Source organism: Homo sapiens, chromosome 20 (assembly GCF_000001405.40).
Source record: "Homo sapiens chromosome 20, GRCh38.p14 Primary Assembly".
NCBI classification, from domain to species: domain Eukaryota; kingdom Metazoa; phylum Chordata; class Mammalia; order Primates; family Hominidae; genus Homo; species Homo sapiens.
In genome coordinates, this window is record NC_000020.11 from 48965480 (window position 1) to 48986842 (window position 21363).

At 42.8% G+C, this 21363-nt stretch overlaps 1 protein-coding gene across 3 annotated transcripts in view; it reads left to right on the forward strand.

Moving 5' to 3' along the window:
- ARFGEF2 (ARF guanine nucleotide exchange factor 2) overlaps positions 1 to 21363 on the forward strand; it is a 114983-nt gene that overhangs the window by 43769 nt on the left and 49851 nt on the right. For 2 of the 3 annotated variants that reach the window (NM_006420.3, XM_047439832.1), the window contains 9 exons: positions 393 to 544; positions 3668 to 3798; positions 5641 to 5875; positions 6847 to 6946; positions 7666 to 7805; positions 9287 to 9395; positions 10537 to 10720; positions 19250 to 19361; positions 19929 to 20134. In NM_006420.3, the coding sequence (NP_006411.2) occupies positions 393 to 544; positions 3668 to 3798; positions 5641 to 5875; positions 6847 to 6946; positions 7666 to 7805; positions 9287 to 9395; positions 10537 to 10720; positions 19250 to 19361; positions 19929 to 20134 (1369 nt within the window). The remainder of the gene's footprint in view (positions 1 to 392; positions 545 to 3667; positions 3799 to 5640; positions 5876 to 6846; positions 6947 to 7665; positions 7806 to 9286; positions 9396 to 10536; positions 10721 to 19249; positions 19362 to 19928; positions 20135 to 21363) is intronic. The other variant, NM_001410846.1, reaches the window with a different exon arrangement.

Consider the following 21363-nt stretch of genomic DNA (forward strand, 5'->3'; position numbering starts at 1 on the left):
TGTCATAACTGGCTCTTCTCTAATTCCTTTATTAATGGTACTTTAAAAAAATCTGTACCTTTCATGTTTAGCTGCTTCTAATCTTTTTCAAAAGTGAATGGGGGTGGGTAGGGCTGCTGCATTGCACAGTTCTGGAGGCACCATTGATCTGGAGAGAATTGTATATTGCTGTGGCCCTGGCAGTGGGGCTGTGGATAACAAACACTCGTAAGGCTTAAGCATCACTTTGGCCAAGGCTTTTCCAGGATTATGTCAGTCATGGGCTGGTGGCACAGGAAAAGGGGAAAAAGCAACAGCTGGGAGGTTCACAGATAACTTCTTTTTGGTGTCAGGCAGCCCTTTAGGGTAAGTACAGTACTAATTTGGCTATGACTTTGTACTTGTGTTTTAAGAAGCAGCGGAAAAGCATGGTCTGACAGAACCTGAGAGAGTTCTAGGTGAACTGGAGTGCCAGGAATGTGCTATTCCCCCAGGAGTTGATGAAAACTCACAGACCAACGGGATAGCCGATGACAGGCAGTCCTTGTCGTCAGCAGATAATCTGGTATGTTGGTGATCATCCTCTGTGGACTTATTGCCATTTTTACTTTTTCAAAAGATGCAGAATTAAGTCTTTCCTCAAAAGAAGCAACTAAAATAAGCAAGCCCTGTTCCTTTATTAGTCACACAGTCCTGGGCTGATATTCTTTGTATTAGCAGGTTCAGTTCTTAGAACGTGCTAATGTTGCTTGGTATATAACATCATTATTAAACCCTGTTTACTCAGACTTCTAATACTTAAATTTCTTGCCACTTTTCTTCTCTCTCAAAATAGTATACATTCATTATAGAAAAATAAAATATATAGTTACCCGTCTTTCCTTCTCTGTATTGAAAAGTCAGTATGACTGTATTGAAAGCCATCCATAACCCATAGATTGCCCTTGTTAACATCTTACTTAAATCCATCTAGATTTTTCTCCATCTCACGTATTTTTCCACTTAAATAGAATAATACAGTATGTATCCTGTGTTGCAACCTGCTTTTTAAACAATTTATATTATGAACATTCTCTCAGGCCCATAGATATGTCTGCCACATTATATTTTTAAATAGCCTTACTGTTCTCTTAAAAGTTGCTTTAAAATTAAATATAAACATTCAAAATAGGAAGTAATATGATGTGAGTGTCCCTCTAGACCCCATTTTCTTTGTCTTTTTACCAGTGTTTCTCAATCTTTTTCATTATTGCCCCTTCCTCCAAGAAAACTTTGTAGACATTTTTTCCTAATCATCATTCCCCATTAAGTTGTAATGCCAGCAATAAACTGGATATCCATATGCTACATGTATATCTGTGCTTTATACATAAAAATAATAAGGGTTTGTTGTTCTTGTTGTTTGTTTGAGACACAGTCTCACTCTCACCTAGGCTAGAGTGCAGTGGTGTGATCTCGACTCACTGCAGCCTTCACTTCCTGGGCTCAAATGATCCTGCCACTTCAGCCCCCTGAGTATCTGGGACTACAGGCATGCACCACCATACCTGGCTAATTTTTTATTATTATTTGTAGAGACATGGTCTCACTATATTGCCCAGGGTGATCTTGAACTAGGCTCAAGCAATCTGCCCACCTCAGCTTCCCAAAGTGCTGGGTTTACAGGCTTGAGCCACTGTATCCAACCAGAATAATGTTTTTTTCCCCCCTTGAGGATGCGCTTAAATCTATACAAGGGACTCGTGTTATATGCTAAGCTGCAATTTGCTTTGTTTACTCAACACTATATGATGGGCATCTTCCCCTGTCAGTATATGTAGAGCTAACAGAAATTTTTAATGGCCATGTAAAATTCTGTATGGATCACTGTAATCTATTAACCAATTCCCTATTGGGTTTTTAGATTATTCCAGTTTTATCATAGGAAATGGTTCTATAATGAATATCCTTATAGATAACTCTTAATTCTTTCTTAGGAATAAATGCCTGCAAGTAGTATTGATGGTTCAAGAGTTGGAAGTTTTAGCTGAGTGTAATAGCATGCTTCTGTATTCCCAGCTACTCAGGAGGCTGAGGCTGGAGGATCGCTTGAGCCCAGAAGTCTAGCCAGGGGAACATAGCGAGACCCCATCTCATAAATAAATAACTGTAGCAAGATCATGTCTCATAAGTAAATGAATGAAAGAGAGTGGGAGTTGGAAGTGTTAAGGCTTTTGACATTTAACACCAAGTCAGTCTTCTGGGAAGGTACTACTTGAATACCTGTCCACCTTTAATCTCTCAATACCCATTTTCCCATTCCCTCATTAAAACTAGGCAGCAGCCTTTATTCAAATCTTTGCTAGTCTGATAGGAGAAAGCTCCTACTCTAATGATGAGTAATAAGGTCATTTAGATTTCTTTATCATTTGCATCTATTGGTACATTGCTTATCCATGTTGTTTTCATTTTGGAGGAAGGTTTTCATATTTCCTTAATGAATTATGAGAACTTTTATATGTGGGGGATATTAATCTTTATTATATGTTTTTAAAATTTTTATTTTATTTTTTTGAGTTGGAGTCTCGCTCTGTTGCCCAGGCTGGAGTGCAGTGGCGCAATCTTGGCTCACTGCAAGCTCTGCCTCCCAGGTTCATGCCATTCTCCTGCCTTAGCCTCTTGAGTAGCTGGGACTACAGGTGCCCACCACCACGCCTGGCTAATTTTTTGTATTTTTAGTAGAGACGGGGTTTCACCGTGTTAGCCAGGATGATCTCGATCTCCTGACCTCGTGATTCGCCCGCCTCAGCCTCCCAAAGTGCTGGGATTACAGGCGTGAGCCACCGTGCCTGGCCAAAAAATTTTATTTTTATGTTTTGCTTTTAAATGTAATTTACCTTTTTTTTAGGTGAAAAAAGTTTATTTCGTAATACCTATACTTTGTTACCCGTTTATCCTGCAATAGTTGCAATAGTATTCTTTTTTTTACTTTTTTTTTTTGGTCACCCAGGCTGGAGTGCAGTGCCGCGATCTCGGCTCACTGCAACCTTTACCTCCCAGGTTCAAGCGATTCTCCTGTCTTAGCCTCCCAAGAAGCTGGGATTAGCAGAGATGAGGTTTCACTATGTTGGCCAAGTTGGTCTGGAACTCCTTACCTGAACTGATCTGCCCACCTTGGCCTCCCAAAGTGTTGGGATTACAGGCGTGAGCCATTCATCGCACCTGGCTTACAATAGTATTCTTAGAAATATCTTTCTTACCCAAGCTAGTATAATTACCTGTATTAGTTTTGGTTTTTTTACAGCTTAACTTTTGATCATTTTTCATTTTAAACCACCCATACCAACTCTGAAGAACAAGGAACAAGGTTGTAGAATTGCTGTGATGGCTTCTCCATAGCTCCTATTTTGTCATATCCTTCCCTCCCCCACATCCCTCATCTCTCTATTAAATAGAAGAATTTGAATTTCCAAGAGATAATTACATTTCTAATTTTTGATAAGAGTTAGCTTTTGTTTTGTCCTCTCCCTTTTTATTTTTTGAGATACGGTCTCACTATGTTCCCCAGATTGGAGTGCAATGGTGCCATCATGGCTTACTGCAGCCTTGACCTCCTCGGCTCAGTGGATCCTCCTGCCTCAGCCTCTGGAGTAGCTGGGACTACAGGTGGGTGCCACCACACCCAGCTGATGTTTGTTTCTGATCCTAGGAATCGGATGCACAAGGACATCAAGTGGCTGCCAGGTTCTCCCACGTTCTGCAGAAGGATGCCTTCCTTGTGTTCCGCTCCCTGTGCAAGCTGTCCATGAAACCCCTTGGTGAAGGCCCTCCAGACCCAAAGTAAGCAGACAGCAGTTCTTGGCCACCTTCAGTCCAATGATCCAGCAGCACATGGTACTGTGTTTCACACTTCCCTTGTTCCAAGAAGTTTCAGTGTCATGTCTCTTTGTCAGTGTAAGTGCAGGAACGGTTTTACAACTTTTCAGACTCATGCAGTCTCTAGAGTCCTTTCATATGGAATTGTCTCTGTATCCCCACCAACCAAGATTTTGCCCAGTTTTGCTTTTCTTGGCATATGAATGCTAAAAAAGTCTGTTTATTGAACACATAAAAAACACATTTTTACTAGCTAGTGGATTGAATCTCTTGATGTGGGGTGTGGAGGGACAGGATGCCTGCAAACCTCAGTTCCCTGTTCTGTTGGAAACCTCTGCTTCATCGATACAGATGTAAGCCCCAGATTCGACACAGGGAAGCCAAACATTTCTTTGTAGTAAACAAACTACTACAAGGATGTCAGCGCTGTGGAGTGAAGAAAGCAGAGGCTTCAGAGCCAGAGAGAGCTGCATTTAGATCTTGGATCCTCCACTTGAGAGCAGTTCCTTGGCTATATGACTTGCCAAGCCTCATCTGAAAAATGGGAATATGGAAAATCATCTTACAGGATTGATTAAATGAAATATCGGTGTTGTCCTGAGCATGGGGCCTTGTACTTTATAAATTATCTCTATTGTTCCTGTCATTAGTCATTAATAATAATCCTCAATTCATCTATTACTAATGCTGCTAATACTGTGATAGGTATTAGGAAAATAGGCTGGGTGCGGTGGCTCACACCTATAATCCCAGCACTCTGGGAGGCCAAGGCGGGTGGATCACTTGAGGCCAGGAGTTCGAGACCAGCCTGGCCAACAAGATGAAACCCCACTTCTACTAAAAATACAAAAATTAGCTGGGTATGCTAGTACATGCCTGTAATCCCAGCCACTCGGGAAGCTGAGGCAAGAGAATCGCTTGAACCCAGGAGGCAGAGGTTGCAGTGAGCTGAGATCGTGTCACTGAACTCTAGCCTGGGCAACAGAGCAACAATAAATTTTAAAAAATAAAAATAGGCCGGGCGCGGTAGCTCACGCCTGTAATCCCAGCACTTTGGGAGGCCGAGGCGGGCGGATCATGAGGTCAAGAGATCGAGACCATCCTGGCCAACATGGTGAAACCCCATCTCTACTAAAAATACAAAAAATTAGCCGGGCATGGTGGCAGGCGCCTGTAATCCCAGCTACTCTGGAGGCTGAGGCAGGAGAATCGCTTGAACCCAGGAGACGGAGGTTGCAGTGAGCCGAGATTTGTGCCATTGCACTCCAGCCTGGACAAAAAGAGCAAAACTCCGTCTCAAAAAAATAAATAAATAAATAAAATAAAATAAAAATAAGTGTTAAGAAAATAGTTCATGAAAATGTACCATTTCTTACCATACCTGAACTCCGGCATGGGCAGTGGGGAGGGAGGGCTGTGAGGTAGGTGGATAAAGAGCGCCATCTTCATGGTGTGTGAAACAGAGTGAGCCAGGTGTCTCAGCCTCCCACAAGTGATGTAAAGTCATTGATTCTTGCAGTACAGTTGCAGAACTCGCTCTCCAGAATCAGTTGACACTTTGCTCCTGCTGTATTCTCTACTTTGTGATGGAAAGAGACAAATAGGAGTTGGCAGCTCTTGTTCTCAAAGGGCCTGCGATTCCAGAAGGACCCAACTCATGCCATCTGCCCTCATTCTCCTGACATTTAGGTGCTATTAATTCTTTAAAATTCTACTCATTGGTAAAGGAGCAAGGCCTTCTCAAGAAACATACTGTTTGACATTTTTTCTTTTAGCACTGTTGTGGTTTTTCATTTTCTTTGCCAGATCCCATGAGCTGCGTTCCAAGGTGGTTTCCCTGCAGCTGCTCCTCTCTGTGTTGCAAAATGCTGGCCCCGTATTCAGGACTCACGAGATGTTCATCAATGCAATCAAGCAATATCTCTGTGTGGCCTTGTCCAAAAACGGCGTCTCTTCAGTGCCTGATGTCTTTGAGCTCTCTCTTGCCATTTTTCTTACTCTTCTTTCAAACTTTAAAATGCACTTGAAAATGCAGATAGAGGTACGGATTCCAAAGTTTTTTCATTTCATTATTTACTATTATTATTAGTCATTAATTATAATACTCAATATTGAGAATGCTGCTAATATTACACTAAGCATTAGGAAAATGGTTCATGAAAATGTTTCATATCTTACCATCCTGGAACTCAGAAGTGGGCAGGGGCAGGGAGGGTAAATGGCATATTCATCGGCTGGCACCCCAGTAAATCAGAACTTTTTGAATGAGTAAGAGAATATCTTTTTATAAAAAGTTACTGCCCCCAGCCTGGGCGCCATGGCTCACGCCTGTAATCCCAGCACTTTGGGAAGCTGAGGCGGGCGGATCATGAGGTCAGGAGATCGAGACCATCCTGGCTAACATGGTGAAACCCCGTCTCTACTAAAAATACAAAAAATTAGCCAGGCGTGGTGGCAGGCGCCTGTAGTCCCAGCTACTCGGGAGGCTGAGGCAGGAGAATGGCATGAACCCGGGAGGCGGAGCTTGCAGTGAGCCAAGATTGCACCACTGCACTCCAGCCTGGGCAACAGGGCGAGACTCCATCTCAAAAAAAAAAAGTTACTGCCCCCGGATCTTATGTGCCTTTCATTTTAACCAATATGGTCTGTCTGCTGGGCTCAGCCCCCTAAACATATCTGTTTGGTCTGTAAATTGTTTGAAATCATTTAGATTAGTCGCCAAATTGAGAAATCCTATTTTACATGAAAATCCAGATTTCTGGTTTCTCTCCAAAAAGTCACAGTATGGGTCCTGCATTTCCACTTGGCAGCTCCCCAGTGGGCCCCACCCTGCCAGCCGTCCCCACCAAGGCCAGGGTCCCGTTGCTGCCCAGCCAGGTGGGCACTCCACTCTTCTTCTGCCCAGGGTGCTTTACTTACTGCACGACTGGGTTGGCTGCTGAAGACTTTGGAGGTTTTGAGCCCTGGTTGAAACTGTTAATTAGTGTCCTCCTTTGTCTTTATGTCATATAGGTCTTTTTCAAAGAGATTTTCCTGAACATTTTAGAAACATCAACAAGTTCTTTTGAGCACAGGTGGATGGTCATTCAGACTCTGACGAGGATCTGTGCAGGTATTTCCACCTGGGGACACTCATCCACTGGACTTCTGATGCTTTAATTTGCCACAGCTCAGATTAAGACTTCTAACCCCTCCTTTTAGAGTTTTAAAGGATTGGCAATAAAAGGCTAATTCTAACCTAGTCCTGCCCCACCTCTCCTTTTTTAGAGGATGACCAACTTAGGCTGGTTTGCCAAGGACTTCCTGGTTTTAGCACTAAAAGTCTCATGTCCCAGAAACCCCCTAATCTCGTCAAACTGGGACACTTGGTTACGTTACCTACAAGCTGAGTACTGTTAATCACAGGACCTAAGATACTGGTGCTGCCAATTTTTGATTGGGTGCTACGGTAAATGTGGATTTACCTTACACTATACAATTGTGTGGCCTCAAAGTAAGCATCCTGCTTGTCTGGCATCAAATGTAATTTTGTAAGAGTGACACAACTTTAAGAGGTGGGTCAGGCAATTGTTAACCCCTTCCTTGATGAGAAAATTGAGGCTTGGATGGGTGGAATGAACTGCCTGAGATTTCAATTTGCTCAGAAGCAGGCCTAAAAACAACCTCCTGTCTTCCAGCTTCCTAGTACTTCCAACATGTGTTTCCTGAGTGAGATGTGGCCACCGGAGTCTGTAGTTCACTGGGGAAATTTGTTGGCAAACATCTTGTTTGATAAGAAAACCTAACTGCTATTTGATCAGAATTTCTGATACTTGTATGTTATTTTCCAAGATGCCCAGTGTGTTGTGGATATTTATGTCAACTACGACTGTGATTTAAATGCTGCTAACATTTTTGAGCGCCTTGTAAATGATTTATCCAAAATTGCTCAGGGAAGAAGTGGACATGAGCTGGGAATGACACCTCTGCAGGTAAAAACACTGTGGACACTCAATTATATTAAAGTTTATTCATTCCAATAAACATTTATTGAGTGCCACCACATGCCAGGCACTGTCCTTGATACAGCAGTGAACAAAACAGGAATGCATATTCACACACTTCCTGCCATCATGAAACGACATTAAAGAAGTCAGTTCAGATGATCATAGGGGCTGCAGAGAAAAATAAAGCAGGGACGGCAGAGAGGAAGTGCTGAAGGTGGGGTGCTGTAATTCTTAATGGGGCCATTAGGGTAGTATCCCTTAGAAGGTGACCTTTGAGCTGAGACCCATAGGAAGCAAATTCATTCTCAGTCACCCTTCCAAAGATAGCGTGGAAAACAGGATCCCAGTCTGCAATAGGGGCAAAGGAGATTGGCTAGTAGCAGAATACCTCATTAGAGCACCTACAAAGAAAATAGGATGCTTAACTGTAGGTTTCTGAATGAACTGGTCAGAGGGTCTCCGAGCTCCCTGGAATTGTGTGTAGAATTTTGGTATATGGGCATTTTTCCTAAAAGATGGTCATAGTTGTCATTAGAATCACAGAGATCTATGCTGTCCGAGTTGCTGTTTTGAATCTAAAATATTTGCAATTTTTTTAGATGATCTGCAACTCATATTCAACTTGTTATTTAAGAATGCTGTTTATTTTTGAAAATCAGTATTTTTATTTACTTAAAGGGTGAGCCTTAAAATTGAATGCATTTGTGGGTATTTAGGGGATACGTTGTATCCAGAGTCACTTACAGCATAATTCAAGGTTCTTTTCTCCTTTTTTTCAGTCACTGGTTGAGACCTTGTTATTTATTATTTGAGTGTGAATTTTTTTTTTTTTTTTTTTTTTTTTGAGACAGAATCTCACTCTGTCACCCAGGCTGGAGTGCAGTGGCGCGATCTCAGCTCACTGCAACCTCCACCTCCCAGGTTCAAGTGATTCTCCTGCCTCAGCCTCCTGAGTGGCAGGGATTACAGGTGCCTGCCACCACACCCGGCTGATTTGAGATGGGGTTTCACCATATTGTCCAGGCTGGTCTTGAACTCCTTACCTCAGGTGGTCCACCCACCTCAGCCTCCCAGAGTGCTGGGATTACAGGCGTGAGCCACAGCGCCTGCCCAAGATCTTGTTATTTTTTTAAAAATAGAAAAATTTAAAATTTTTTTTTAATCACATAAGCAATGAATGAAAACTTCTTTTGAAAATCCAAATAACATTGTTCATTTTAGGAAAACACATATCCCATATTTTTGCTGCTGGGGTGTTTATAATGAGCACCTTTAGAGATGTCCAGGGCTTTTGCAATGTATCCTTGATACTTGTCACTTCTTAGCTCTGGGTTTGTTTCATTCTTAATAGCACTGACTGTCAGTGATTTCTTTCTTAGCCTCACTGGGGTCCCAGAAAGCCTCGTAGATGTCTGTTCTCTTCATTTTTCTGTTAAGTCTCTTTCCTGTGTGACTTCGTCCCTTAGGAGCTCAGCCTGAGGAAGAAAGGCCTGGAGTGCCTCGTGTCCATTCTCAAGTGCATGGTGGAGTGGAGCAAAGACCTGTATGTGAATCCCAACCACCAGACCAGCCTCGGTGAGACAGCATTGCTGCCACACCCACCTCCATTCATAATAGGCTCCTACGACTGCTAGGAACAGTTGTCTTAGTATAGTTGTCTTAGAATTGAAAAAGCCTTTTTAGTTTGCTAAATACCTATATTATTTTGAAAGTCCTGCTTTTTATTGCATCTGGAGTTGTGTGAAGTTATGCTGTAACTTCATTGTTTCAAATACAGAGCCAGTTGCTCTAGTGCCTTTTTAGTAGTTGTTCATTCCCTCACTGATTCAAAGCATCACCTTTATGATATACCACATTTTCCTATGTACGTAAGTCTGTTTCTGGAGTTTTAATTTTTTTAAAGAGACAGAGTCTGTTTCCATTACCCGGCTGGAATACAGTGGTGCAATCATAGCTCACTGCAGCCTTAAACTCCTGGGCTCAAGCGATCCTCCCACCTCAGCCTCCCAAAGCTCTGGGATTACAGACGTGAGCCACTGTGCCTGGCCTTCTTTCTGGATTTTCTATTCTGTTCTGTTTATTTGTCTGTTTTAACACCAGTACCACACTTGTTTTTGGTATCTTGTAGGGCAAGTCCTCCTATTCGTTGTTCTTTAAGTTGTCTTGATCTTTTTTTGCCTTTTTTACTCTTTCATGTGAATTTTAGAATTAGCTCATCAAGGCTGGGCACGGCAGATCATGCCTGTAACCCCAGCACTTTGGGAGGTCGAGGGTGGTGGATCACGAGGTCAGGTGTTCAAGACCAGCCTGGCCAACATAGTGAAACCCTGTCTCTACTAAAAATACAAAAAATTAGCCGGGTGTGGTGGCAGGCGCCTGTAATCCCAGGTGCTCTGGAGGCTGAGGCAGGAGAACAGCTTGAACCTGTGAGGTGGAGGTTGCACTGAGCCGAGATCGTGCCACTGCACTCCAGCCAGGGTGACAGTGCGAGACTCCATCTCAAAAAAAAAAAAGAATTAGCTCATCAAGTTTCATGAGGAAACAAGTTTTTAAGTAAAGTATCTGAATGATACTAAGGTTTCATGCTTATAATCCTTATAGTATTGACTTGTTGCTATTACAGGTTTGGGAAAGGGAGCCGTGCAGCCAGACCTAGCTCGGCTGTGTCTGTGTCCCACTTGCTTATTTGGCTTCCTTTACTTTTGTTTCTCCGCAGGTCAGGAGAGGCTCACGGATCAGGAAATAGGGGATGGGAAAGGCCTTGACATGGCAAGACGGTGTAGTGTGACGTCCATGGAGTCCACAGTGTCCTCGGGGACCCAGACAACTGTTCAGGATGACCCTGAGCAATTTGAGGTCATCAAGCAACAAAAAGAAATCATTGAACACGGCATCGAGCTGTGAGTGGGGCTGCCGTTAACTAGCAGGGATTCTAGCAAAGCCATATTTTCTCTGGGAACCTGGAACTGATTCCTAAAAAGGAAATGCCTGTTTACAAAAGGCTGGTGCTGGCACTTGTAGCTAAGCCTGATTGAGCCAGGCAATCAGTAAATGAGCGTATGTGTGTGTGTCTGTGCACACAGAGAGAGAAAACTTTAATACCTTTGTGTGGTTGATGCAGCCTTTTTTCCCCCCTTTTCTAATGAAAATAATAAAACCAATTTAGAAAATACAGAAAAGTATAAAGTAAGAATGTAAAAATCACTCATAAAATTACTGCCTGAGATGGCCCGGCGCAGTGGCTCACGCCTGTAATCCCAGCACTTTAGGAGGCTGAGGCAGGTGGATCATGAGGTCAGGAGATCAAGACCATCCTGGCTAACACGGTGAACCCCTGTCTCTACTAAAAATACAAAAAATTAGCCGGGCGTGGTGGCGGGTGCCTGTAGTCCCAGCTACTCGGGAGGCTGAGGCAGGAGAATGGCGTGAACCTGGGAGGCGGAGCTTGCAGTGAGCAGAGATTGCGCCACTGCACTCCAGCCTGGGTGACAGAGTGAGACTCCATCTCAACAACAACAAAAAATTACTGCCTGAGGGAATCACCATTGGTGCATTTTTTTCCAACTATATATTACATGAAAAATTTCAGCATACCAAAACATTACTGTTTGTCTTATTTGTTTTATTTTTTTAGGCATTTTATTTTATTTTATTTTATTTTATTTTATTTTATTTTATTTTATGTTGTTTTCTTATACTTTAAGTTCTAGGGTACGTGTGCACAACGTGCAGGTTTGTTACATAGGTATACATGTGCCATGTTGGTTTGCTGCACCCATTAACTCGTCATTTACATTAGGTATTACTCCTAATGCTATCCCTCCCCCTGCGCCCCACCCCATAGCAGGCCCCCCTGTGTGTGATATTCCCCGCCCTGTGTCTGAGTGTTCTCATTGTTTGGTACCCACCTATGAGTGAAAACGTGGTGTTTGGTTTTCTGTCCTTGTGATAGTTTGCTCAGAATGATGGTTTCCAGCTTCATCCATGTCCCTGCAAAGGACATGAACTCATCCTTTCTTATGAGGCATAGTATTCCATGGTGTATATGTGCCACATTTTCTTAATCCAGTCTACAATTGATGGACATTTGGGTTGATTCCAAGTTTTTGCTACTGTGAATAGTGCCGCAATAAACATACGTGTGCATGTGTCTTTATAGTAGCATGATGTATAATCCTTTGGGTATATACCCAGTAATGGGATCGCTGAGTCAAATGCTATTTCTAGTTCTAGATCCTTAAGGAATCACCACACTGTCTTCCACAATGGTTGGACTAGTTTACATTCCCACCAACAGTGTAAAAGCGTTCCTATTTCTCCACATCCTCTCCAGCATCTGTTGTTTCCTGACTTTTTAATGATCGCCATTCTAACTGGTGTGAGATGGTATCGCATTGTGGTTTGGATTTGCATTTCTCTTACGACCAGTGATGATGAGCATTTTTTCATGTGTCCGTTGGCTACATAAATGTCTTCTTTTGAGCAGTGTCTGTTCATATCCTTTGCCCACTTTTTGATGGGGTTGCTTGTTTTTTTCTTGTAAATTTGTTTAAGTTCTTTGTAGATTCTGGATATTAGCCCTTTGTCAGATGGGTAGATTGCAAAAATTTTCTCCCATTCTGTAGGTTGCCTGTTCACTCTGATGGTAGTTTCTTTTGCTGTGCAGAAGCTCTTTCGTTTAATTAGATCCCATTTGTCTATTTTGGCTTTTGTTGCCATTGCTTTTGGTGTTTTAGTCATGAAGTCCTTGCCCACGCCTAGTTCCTGAATGGTATTGCCTAGGTTTTCTTCTAGAGTTTTTATGGTTTTAGGTCTAACATTTAAGTCTTTAATCCATCTTGAATTAATTTTTGTCTAAGGTATAAGGAAGGGATCCAGTTTCAGCTTTCTACATATGGCTAGCCAGTTTTCCCAGCACCATTTATTAAATAGGAAATCCTTTCCCCATTTCTTGTTTTTGTCAGGTTTGTCAAAGATCAGATGGTTGTAGATGCATGGTATTTCTGAGGACTCTGTGCTGTTCCATTGGTCTGTCTCTCTGTTTTGGTACCAGTACCATGCTGTTTTGGTTAGCGTTGTAGTATAGTTTGAAGTCAGGTAGTGTGATGCCTCTAGATTTGTTCTTTTTGCTTAGGATTGTCTTGGCAATGTGCGCTCTTTTTCGGTTCCATATGAACTTTAAAGTAGTTTTTTCCAATTCTGTGAAGAAAGTCATTGGTAGCTTGATGGGGATGGCATTGAATCTATAAATTACCTTGGGCAGTATGGCCATTTTCATGATATTGATTCTTCCTATCCATGAGCATGGAATGTTCTTCCATTTGTTTGTGTCCTCTGTTATTTCGTTGAACAGTGGTTTATAGTTCTCCTTGAAGAAGAGGTCCTTCACATCCCTTGTAAGTTGGATTCCTAGGTATTTTATTCTCTTTGTAGCAATTGTGAATGGGAGTTCACTCATGATTTGGCTCTCAGTTTGTCTCTTATTGGCATAAAGGAATACTTGTGATTTTTGCACATTGATTTTATATTCTGAGACTTTGCTGAAGTTGCTTATCAGCTTAAGGAGATTTTGGGCTGAGACGATGGGGTTTTCTAAACATACAATCATGTCATCTGCAAACAGGGACAATTTGACTTCCTCTTTTCCTGATTGAATACGCTTTATTTCTTTCTCTTGCCTGATTGCCCTGGCCAGAACTCCCAACACTGTGTTGAATGGGAGTGGTGAGAGACAGCATCCCTATCTTGTGCCAGTTTTCAAAGGAAATGCTTCCAGTTTTTGCCCATTCAGTATGATAATTGGCTGTGGGTTTGTCATAAATAGCTCTTATTATTTTGAGATATGTTCCGTCAGTACCTAGTTTATTGAGAGTTTTTAGCATGAAGGGCTGTTGAATTTTGTTGAAGGCCTTTTTTGCATCTATTGAGATAATCATGTGGTCTTTGTCATTGGTTCTGTTTATGTGATGGATTACGTTTATTGATTTGTGTATGTTGAACCAGCCTTGCTTCCCAGGGATGAAGCTGACTTGATCGTGGTGGATAAGCTTTTTGATGTGCTGCTGGATTCGGTTTGCCAGTATTTTATTGAGGATTTTCACATTGATGTTCATCAGGGATATTCGTCTAAAATTCTCTTTTTTTATTGTGTCTCTGCCAGGCTTTGGTATCAGGATGATGCTGGCCTCATAAAATGAGTTAGGGAGGATTCCCTCTTTTTCTATTGATTGGAATAGTTTCAGAAGGAATGGTACCAGCTCCTCTTTGTACCTCTGATAGGATTCGACTTTGAATCCATCTGGTCCTGGACTTTTTCTGGTTGGTAGGCTATTAATTATTGCCTCAATTTCAGAGCCTGTTATTGGTCTATTCAGGGATTCAACTTCTTCCTGGTTTAGTCTTGGGAGGGTGTATGTGTCGAGGAATTTATCCATTGCTTCTAGATTTTCTAGTTTATTTGCGTAGAGGTGTTTATAGTATTTTCTGATGGTAATTTGTATTTCTGTGGGATCGGTGGTGATATCCCCTTTATCATTTTTTATTGTGTCTGTTTGATTCTTCTCTTTATTTTCTTCTTTATTAGTCTTGCTAGCAGTCTATCAATTTTGTTGATCTTTTTTAAAAAAACAGCTCCTGGATTCGTTGATTTTTTTTTGAAGGGTTTTTTATGTCTCTATCTCCTTCAGTTCTGCTCTGATCTTAGTTATTTCTTGCCTTCTGTTAGCTTTTGAATTTGTTTGTTCTTGCTTCTCTAGTTCTTTTAATTGTGATGTTAGTGTGTCAATTTTAGATCTTTCCTGCTTTCTCTTGTGGGCATTTAGTGCTATAAATTTCCCTCTACACACTGCTTTAAATGTGTCCCAGAGACTCTGGTACGTTGTTTCTTTGTTCTCCTTGGTTCCAAATAACATCTTTATTTCTGCCTTAATTTCGTTATGTACCCAGTAGTCATTCAGGAGGAGGTTGTTCAGTTTCCATGTAGTTGTGTGGTTTTGAGTGAGTTTCTTAATCCTGAGTTCTAATTTGATTGCACTGTGGTCTGAGAGACAGTTTGTTGTGATTTCTGTTCTTTTGCATTTGCTGAGGAGTGCTTTACTTCCAACTATGTGGTCAATTTTGGAATAAGTGCAATGTGGTGCTGAGAAGAATGTATATTCTGTTGGTTTGGGGTGGAGAGTTCTGTAGATGTCTATTAGGTCCACTTGGTGCAGAGCTGAGTTCAAGTTGTGGATATCCTTGTTAACCTTCTGTCTTGTTGATCTGTCTAATATTGACAGTGGGGTGTTAAAGTCTCCCAGTATTTTTGTTTGGGAGTCTAAGTCTCTTTGTAGGTCTCTAAGGACTTGCTTTATGAATCTAGGTGCTCCCGTATTGGGTGCATATATATTTAGGATAGTTAGCTCTTCTTGTTGAATTGATCCCTTTACCATTATGTAATGGCCTTCTTTGTCTCTTTCGATCTTTGTTGGTTTAAAGTCTGTTTTATCAGAGACTAGGATTGCAACCCATGCTTTTTTTTGCTTTCCATTTGCTTGGTAGATCTTCCTCCATCCCTATATTTTGAGCCTGTGTGTGTCTCTGCACGTGAGATGGGTCTCCTGAATATAGCACACTGAGGTCTTGACTCTTTATCCAGTTTGCCAGTCTGTGTCTTTTAATTGGGGCATTTATCCCCATTACATTTCAAGTTAATATTGTTATGTGTGAATTTGATCCTGTCATTATAATGTTAGCTGGTTATTTTGCCCGTTAGTTGATGCAGTTTCTTCCTAGCATCGATGGTCTTTACAATTTGGCATGGTTTTGCAGTGGCTTGTACCAGTTGTTCCTTTCTATGTTTAGTGCTTCCTTCAGGAGCTCTTGTAAGGCAGGCCTGGTGGTGACAAAATCTCTCAGCATTTGCTTGTCTGTAAAAGATTTTATTTCTCCTTCACTTATGAAGTTTAGTTTGGCTGGATATGAAATTCTGGGTTGAAAGTTCTTTTCTTTAAGAATGTTGAATATTGGCCCTCACTCTCTTCTGGCTTGTAGAGTTTCTGCTGAGAGATCCGCTATTAGTCTGATGGGCTTCCCATAGTGGGTAACCCGACCTTTCTCTCTGGCTGCCCTTAACATTTTTTCCTTCATTTCAACCTTGGTGAATCTGACAATTATATGTCTTGGGGTTGCTCTTCTCTAGGAGTATCTTTGTGGTGTTCTCTGTATTTCCTGAATTTGAAAGTTGGCCTGCCTTGCTAGGTTGGGGAAGTTCTCCTGGATAATATCCTGCAGAGTGTTTTCCAACTTGGTTCCATTCTCCCTGTCACTTTCAGGCATACCAATCAAACGTAGATTTGGTCTTTTCACATAGTCCCATATTTCTTGGAGGCTTTGTTCGTTTCTTTTTATTCTTTTTTCTGTAAACTTCTCTTCTCACTTTATTTCATTAATTTGATCTTCAGTCACTGATACCCTTTCTTCCACTTGATCAAATCTGCTATTGAAGCTTGTGCATGCGTCATGTAGTTCTCATGCCATGGTTTTCAGCTCCACCAGGTCATTTAAGGTCTTCTCTACACTGTTTATTCTAGTTAGCCATTCGTCTAATCTTTTTTCAAGGTTCTTAGCTTCCTTGCGATGGGTTCGAACATCCTCCTTTAGCTTGGAGAAGTTTGTTATTAGTGACTTTCTGAAGCCTACTTCTGTCAGCTTGTCAAAGTCATTTCCATCCATCTTTGTTCTGTTGCTGGGGAGGAGCTGCAATCCTTTGGAGGAAAAGAGGTGCTCTGGTTTTTAGAATTTTCAGCTTTTCTGCTCTGGTGTCTCCCCATCTTTGTGGTTTTATCTATCTTTGGTCTTTGATGCTGGTGACCTACAGATGGGGTTTTGGTGTGGATGTCATTTTATTTGTTGATGTTGCTATTCCTTTCTGTTTGTAGCTTTCCTTCTAACAGTCAGGTCCCTCAGCTGCAGGTCTGTGGGAGTTTGCTGGAGGTCCACTCCAGACCCTGTTTGCCTGGGTATCACCAGCAGAGGCTGCAGAACAGCAAATATTGCAGAACAGCAAATATTGCTGCCTGATCCTTCCTCTGGAAGCATCGTCCCAGAGGGGCACCCGCCTGTATGAGGTGTCAGTCGGCCCTTTCTGGGAGGTGTCTCCCAGTTAGGCTACATGGGGGTCAGGGTCCCACTTGAGGAGGCAGGCTGTTCTCAGAGCTCAAACACCATGCTGGGAGAACCACTGCTGAGAGCTGTCAGACAGGGATGTTTAAGTCTGCAGAAGTTTCTGCTGCCTTTTGTTCAGCTATGCCCTGCCCCCAGAGGTAGGGTCTATAGAGGCAGCAGCCCTTGCAGAGCTGTGGTGGGCTCTGCCCAGTTCGAGCTTCACCAGCACTTTGTTTACCTACTCAAGCCTCAGCAATGGCAGACACCCCTCCCCCTGCCAGGCTGCTGCCTCACAGGTCAATCTCAGACTGCTGAGCCAGCAGTGAGCAAGGCTCCGTGGGCGTGGGACCTGCTGAGCCAGGCACAGGATATAATCTCCTGGTGTGCCATTTGCTAAGACCATTGGAGAAGTGCAGTATTTGGGCAGGAGTGTCCCGATTTTCCAGGTACAGTCTGTCATGGCTTCCCTTGGCTAGGAATGGAAAATCCTCCGACCCCTTACGCTTCCCGGGTAAAGCGATGCCCCGCCCTGCTTCAGCTCACCCTACGTGGGCTGCACCCACTGTCCAACCAGTCCCAGTGAGATGAACCAGGTACCTCAGTTGGAAATGCAGAAATCACCGTCTTCTGCGTCGATCACACTGGGAGCTGCAGACCGGAGCTGTTCCTATTTGGCCATCTTGGGACGGAATCTTACTTGTTTTATTTACGTATATATTTTTCTGAACCATTTTGAAAGTAATTGGTAGCCATCATGAGACCTTAACTGAATCTCTTTGAAAAATAAAGGACATTCTCCCATATAACCACAGCACCATCATCACAATCATTGGCAAATCTTTATGTTTCTTTCCAGTCTTTTACACACATCAACACATACACAATCATATATTCCAACTTGTAAATGATTAGTTAACTTAGTAAGTTCAACTTAAGAGTTGAAATTACAGTACTCACTTATTAACTGACATGTTTGATCTTCTCATTTCTACTGCCGCCACTCCACCTCCCTCTAGTGTATTCTGCCCACAGCAGCTAAAGTAATCTTTTTAAAACATAAATCAAGTCTTATCACTCTCCTGCCTAAATCATTCCAGGTTTCCTGTTCTGCACCATGGCCTGACCCAGCCCCTGGCCTCCCTTGCTGATCTCATCTCCTGCCAATTCCCCTGAGTCACACAATGTATTTTCAGTCCCTTGAACACCTTCAGCTCTTTTTACCATGGTGCCTTGTGCTTGAAATTCTCTTGGCTTTTTTCCATCCCTCAGACTTGGTAAAACATCTCTTACTCAAAGAGGCCTTCAGCAACTGCACTATCTAAACAGGTCCCAAGTTAAGTTCTGCCCTTGCCCCTATTTGTATCTTTCATGACGCTTGCCAGTTTGTGCTTACTCATGAATATCACCCTCCAGCTCAGGCCTGGTAAATAATAAGTTGAGTCTATACATTGGTTAGCTTTGCCTTCCTTTAGCAGGAAATAAAAAATGGGCTGGGCATGGTGGCTCATGCCCGTTATCCCAGCACGTTGGGAGGCTAAGGTGGGAGGATCACTTGGAGTTCCAGACCAGCCTGGTCAACACAGTGAGACCCTGTCTCTTAAAAAAAAAAAAAAGTAGAGAAAGAAAAAAATAAATACAAAATAACATGCTTAACTATGTATTTCTCTCTCAAGGAAATCCAAAAGTGGACAGTCTAAGGCTGCTACGGTGGCCCTTAAGGACATCAGAGATCCAGGCTCCTTTTATCTGTCTGCTTCACCATACTTAGCCAGAGAGGGTGGCCTCATGGTATAAGATGACTGCTGGAGTACCAGCCATCCCACAAACATTCTGGAGAGGAGGAGGGAAAGAACAAAAAGAGAAAAAAGCAGACTTCCCACCTGAGTCAGCTTTGTTTAAGGGTCCTTCCTAGAAGTACCCACACCACTTCTGCTCATATCTCACTGGCTAGAAGTTTATCACATGGCCATCCTTTATTTAAGGGAGGCAGGGAAATGTTCTTTTTATTCCACATGGCAGTGTGTCCAGCTAACACGTAGGGTTCTATTAGTGTTGGAGAAGGGGAGAGTGGATATGAGGTGACAATCAGCAGACTCTGACCAGGTATAGCTGGGTCAGAAATTGAAGGTGGAATTTAGAAAAGCTGCCAGGACAGACATGACCTTGCTAGCTTATACGTGATGGCATGTTCATAGTATTCTATTATTATTTATCTCAAATACCAGCTTTTGCTATCCTCCAGATTTTGAAATAAGCAACTTGTGTCCCATCTCTGCTTGAAACAGGTTCAACAAGAAACCCAAGAGGGGGATCCAGTTTCTCCAGGAGCAGGGCATGCTGGGAACGTCAGTTGAAGACATAGCCCAATTCCTGCACCAGGAGGAGCGCCTGGATTCCGTAAGGCTTGGGGGTGTAGCACTTGCATGTGAGTTCTGTCAGGTGATTGTGAGCCCTTACCAGTTTTAACCTCGAGATTGTCTGGCCCTAAGTACATTGTCTGTTGTCCACCCCCGGGTTATACATTGTCTATTGTCCACCCCCGGGTTACAGCAGTCCTGTGTATCCCGTTGGCTAGTGTTGCAGAAAGCTCTTTGATGGGAATAAACTAGCCTCCCAGCAGGTGGCTGCATATTTGCTGGAAGAGAGTCAGAGCTGGAAGTGTTCCTTGACTGCTAGAAAGTTCTTACGGCTGCCTGTCTGCAACTAACCTCCTTAGTGTGCCCCGTCATTCTCTCCATTTTAAGTCTCTTGTGCCCCCTCCTCTTCCTTCATCCATGCAGGACAGGCTGCTTCTGGAATGGGTGGGTGGGTGGGCAGGTCAGGGAGTTCCCTAGCTTTTTTACCAGTCCAGCCTATTCTGGGCAGTTAGGGCCAGGCTATTCTGACTCCACCCTTTGGCTGCTGGCTTTTGCTGAGGGTTCGTATTTGACAATTTCTGGATATAAGTGAGTGTGTATGTTTCAGACCCAAGTAGGCGATTTTCTGGGAGATAGCGCAAGGTTCAACAAGGAGGTGATGTATGCCTACGTGGACCAACTTGACTTCTGTGAAAAAGAATTTGTCTCAGCCCTGCGGACATTCCTAGAAGGTTTCCGCCTACCTGGAGAAGCCCAAAAGATTGACCGATTAATGGAGAAGTTTGCCGCAAGATACATAGAATGCAACCAAGGGTGAGCGCCGATTTTGAGTCCCTTCCAGATCATCTGTTTGCCTGCCTCAGAACGCTAATTCTAATTTGGTTGGGGTTTAATCTTTGTATATCTGTGCCAAGCAACTGAAGCTTTTGTTTACCGTGTGCCAGGCACTGTGCTAAGGGATTATTTCACATAAGACCTCACAGCAACCTGTTTATGTCCCTATTCTACAGACAAAAAGATTGAGGACCAGAGAGGTTAACTTGCCCAAGATCACACAGCTAAAGCCCATGCTGTTAGCAACTATAAAAGAGTAGTTTCATAAGTTGAGAGGAGACAATTGGGCACCTCTTCCCTAATCAAAAACAGTTCCCCTGATTTAATATATGGGGTAGATCTCAAGGATTTTGGTTTTTCTTTAATTGCATACTGATGAGCAGGTTACAGAAATAGCTACATAACTAATAAAAACCACCAAAGTACATGATTTTATCTGGGGACCTTTTTTGATGGGCGGTTCGTGATTTTGTAAGAAGTGGAAATAGGAAGGGGAACAAACCATTATTAAATACCTCCTGTGTGTGGGCCATGCCATGGGTTTTACATGCATTTAATTTAATTAATGGCAAGCCCAGGAATAGTATCCCTGTTTTACAGATGAGGAAATTGAGAATCTGAGAGATTGAGCAACCTGTCCAAAATTAATCAGCTAGTAAGGAGCAGAGCCAGGGTTGAATATGGATTTCTCTAACTCAGAAGCTCATGTTCGGGCTGGATGCAGTAGCTCTTGCCTGTAATCCCAGCACTTTGGGAGGCCGGGACGGGCAGATCACTTGGGGTCAGGAGTTCGAGACCAGCCTGGCCAATATGGTGAAATCCCGTCTCTTCCAAAAATACAAAAAAAAATTAGCTGGGTAATCCCAGCTGCTCAGAGGCTGAGGCAGGAGAATTGCTTCAACCTGGGAGGCAGAGGCTACAGTGAGCCGAGACCACACCACTGCACACCAGCCTGGATGACAGAGGCAGACTCTGTCTCAAAAAAAAAAACTCATGTTCTCTCCACTGAACATTAAATTAGAAATATGTCTGAATATGCTGTGACCATGATGTGGAAATTGTTCAGTGGAAACTATTTTTTTTGAGACAGGGTCTTGCTCTCTTGCCCAGGTTGAAGTACAGTGGGGTGATCACAGATCACTGCAGCCTGGATCTCCTGGGCTCAATCAGTCCTCCCACCTCAGCCTCCTGAACTGCTGGGACTACAG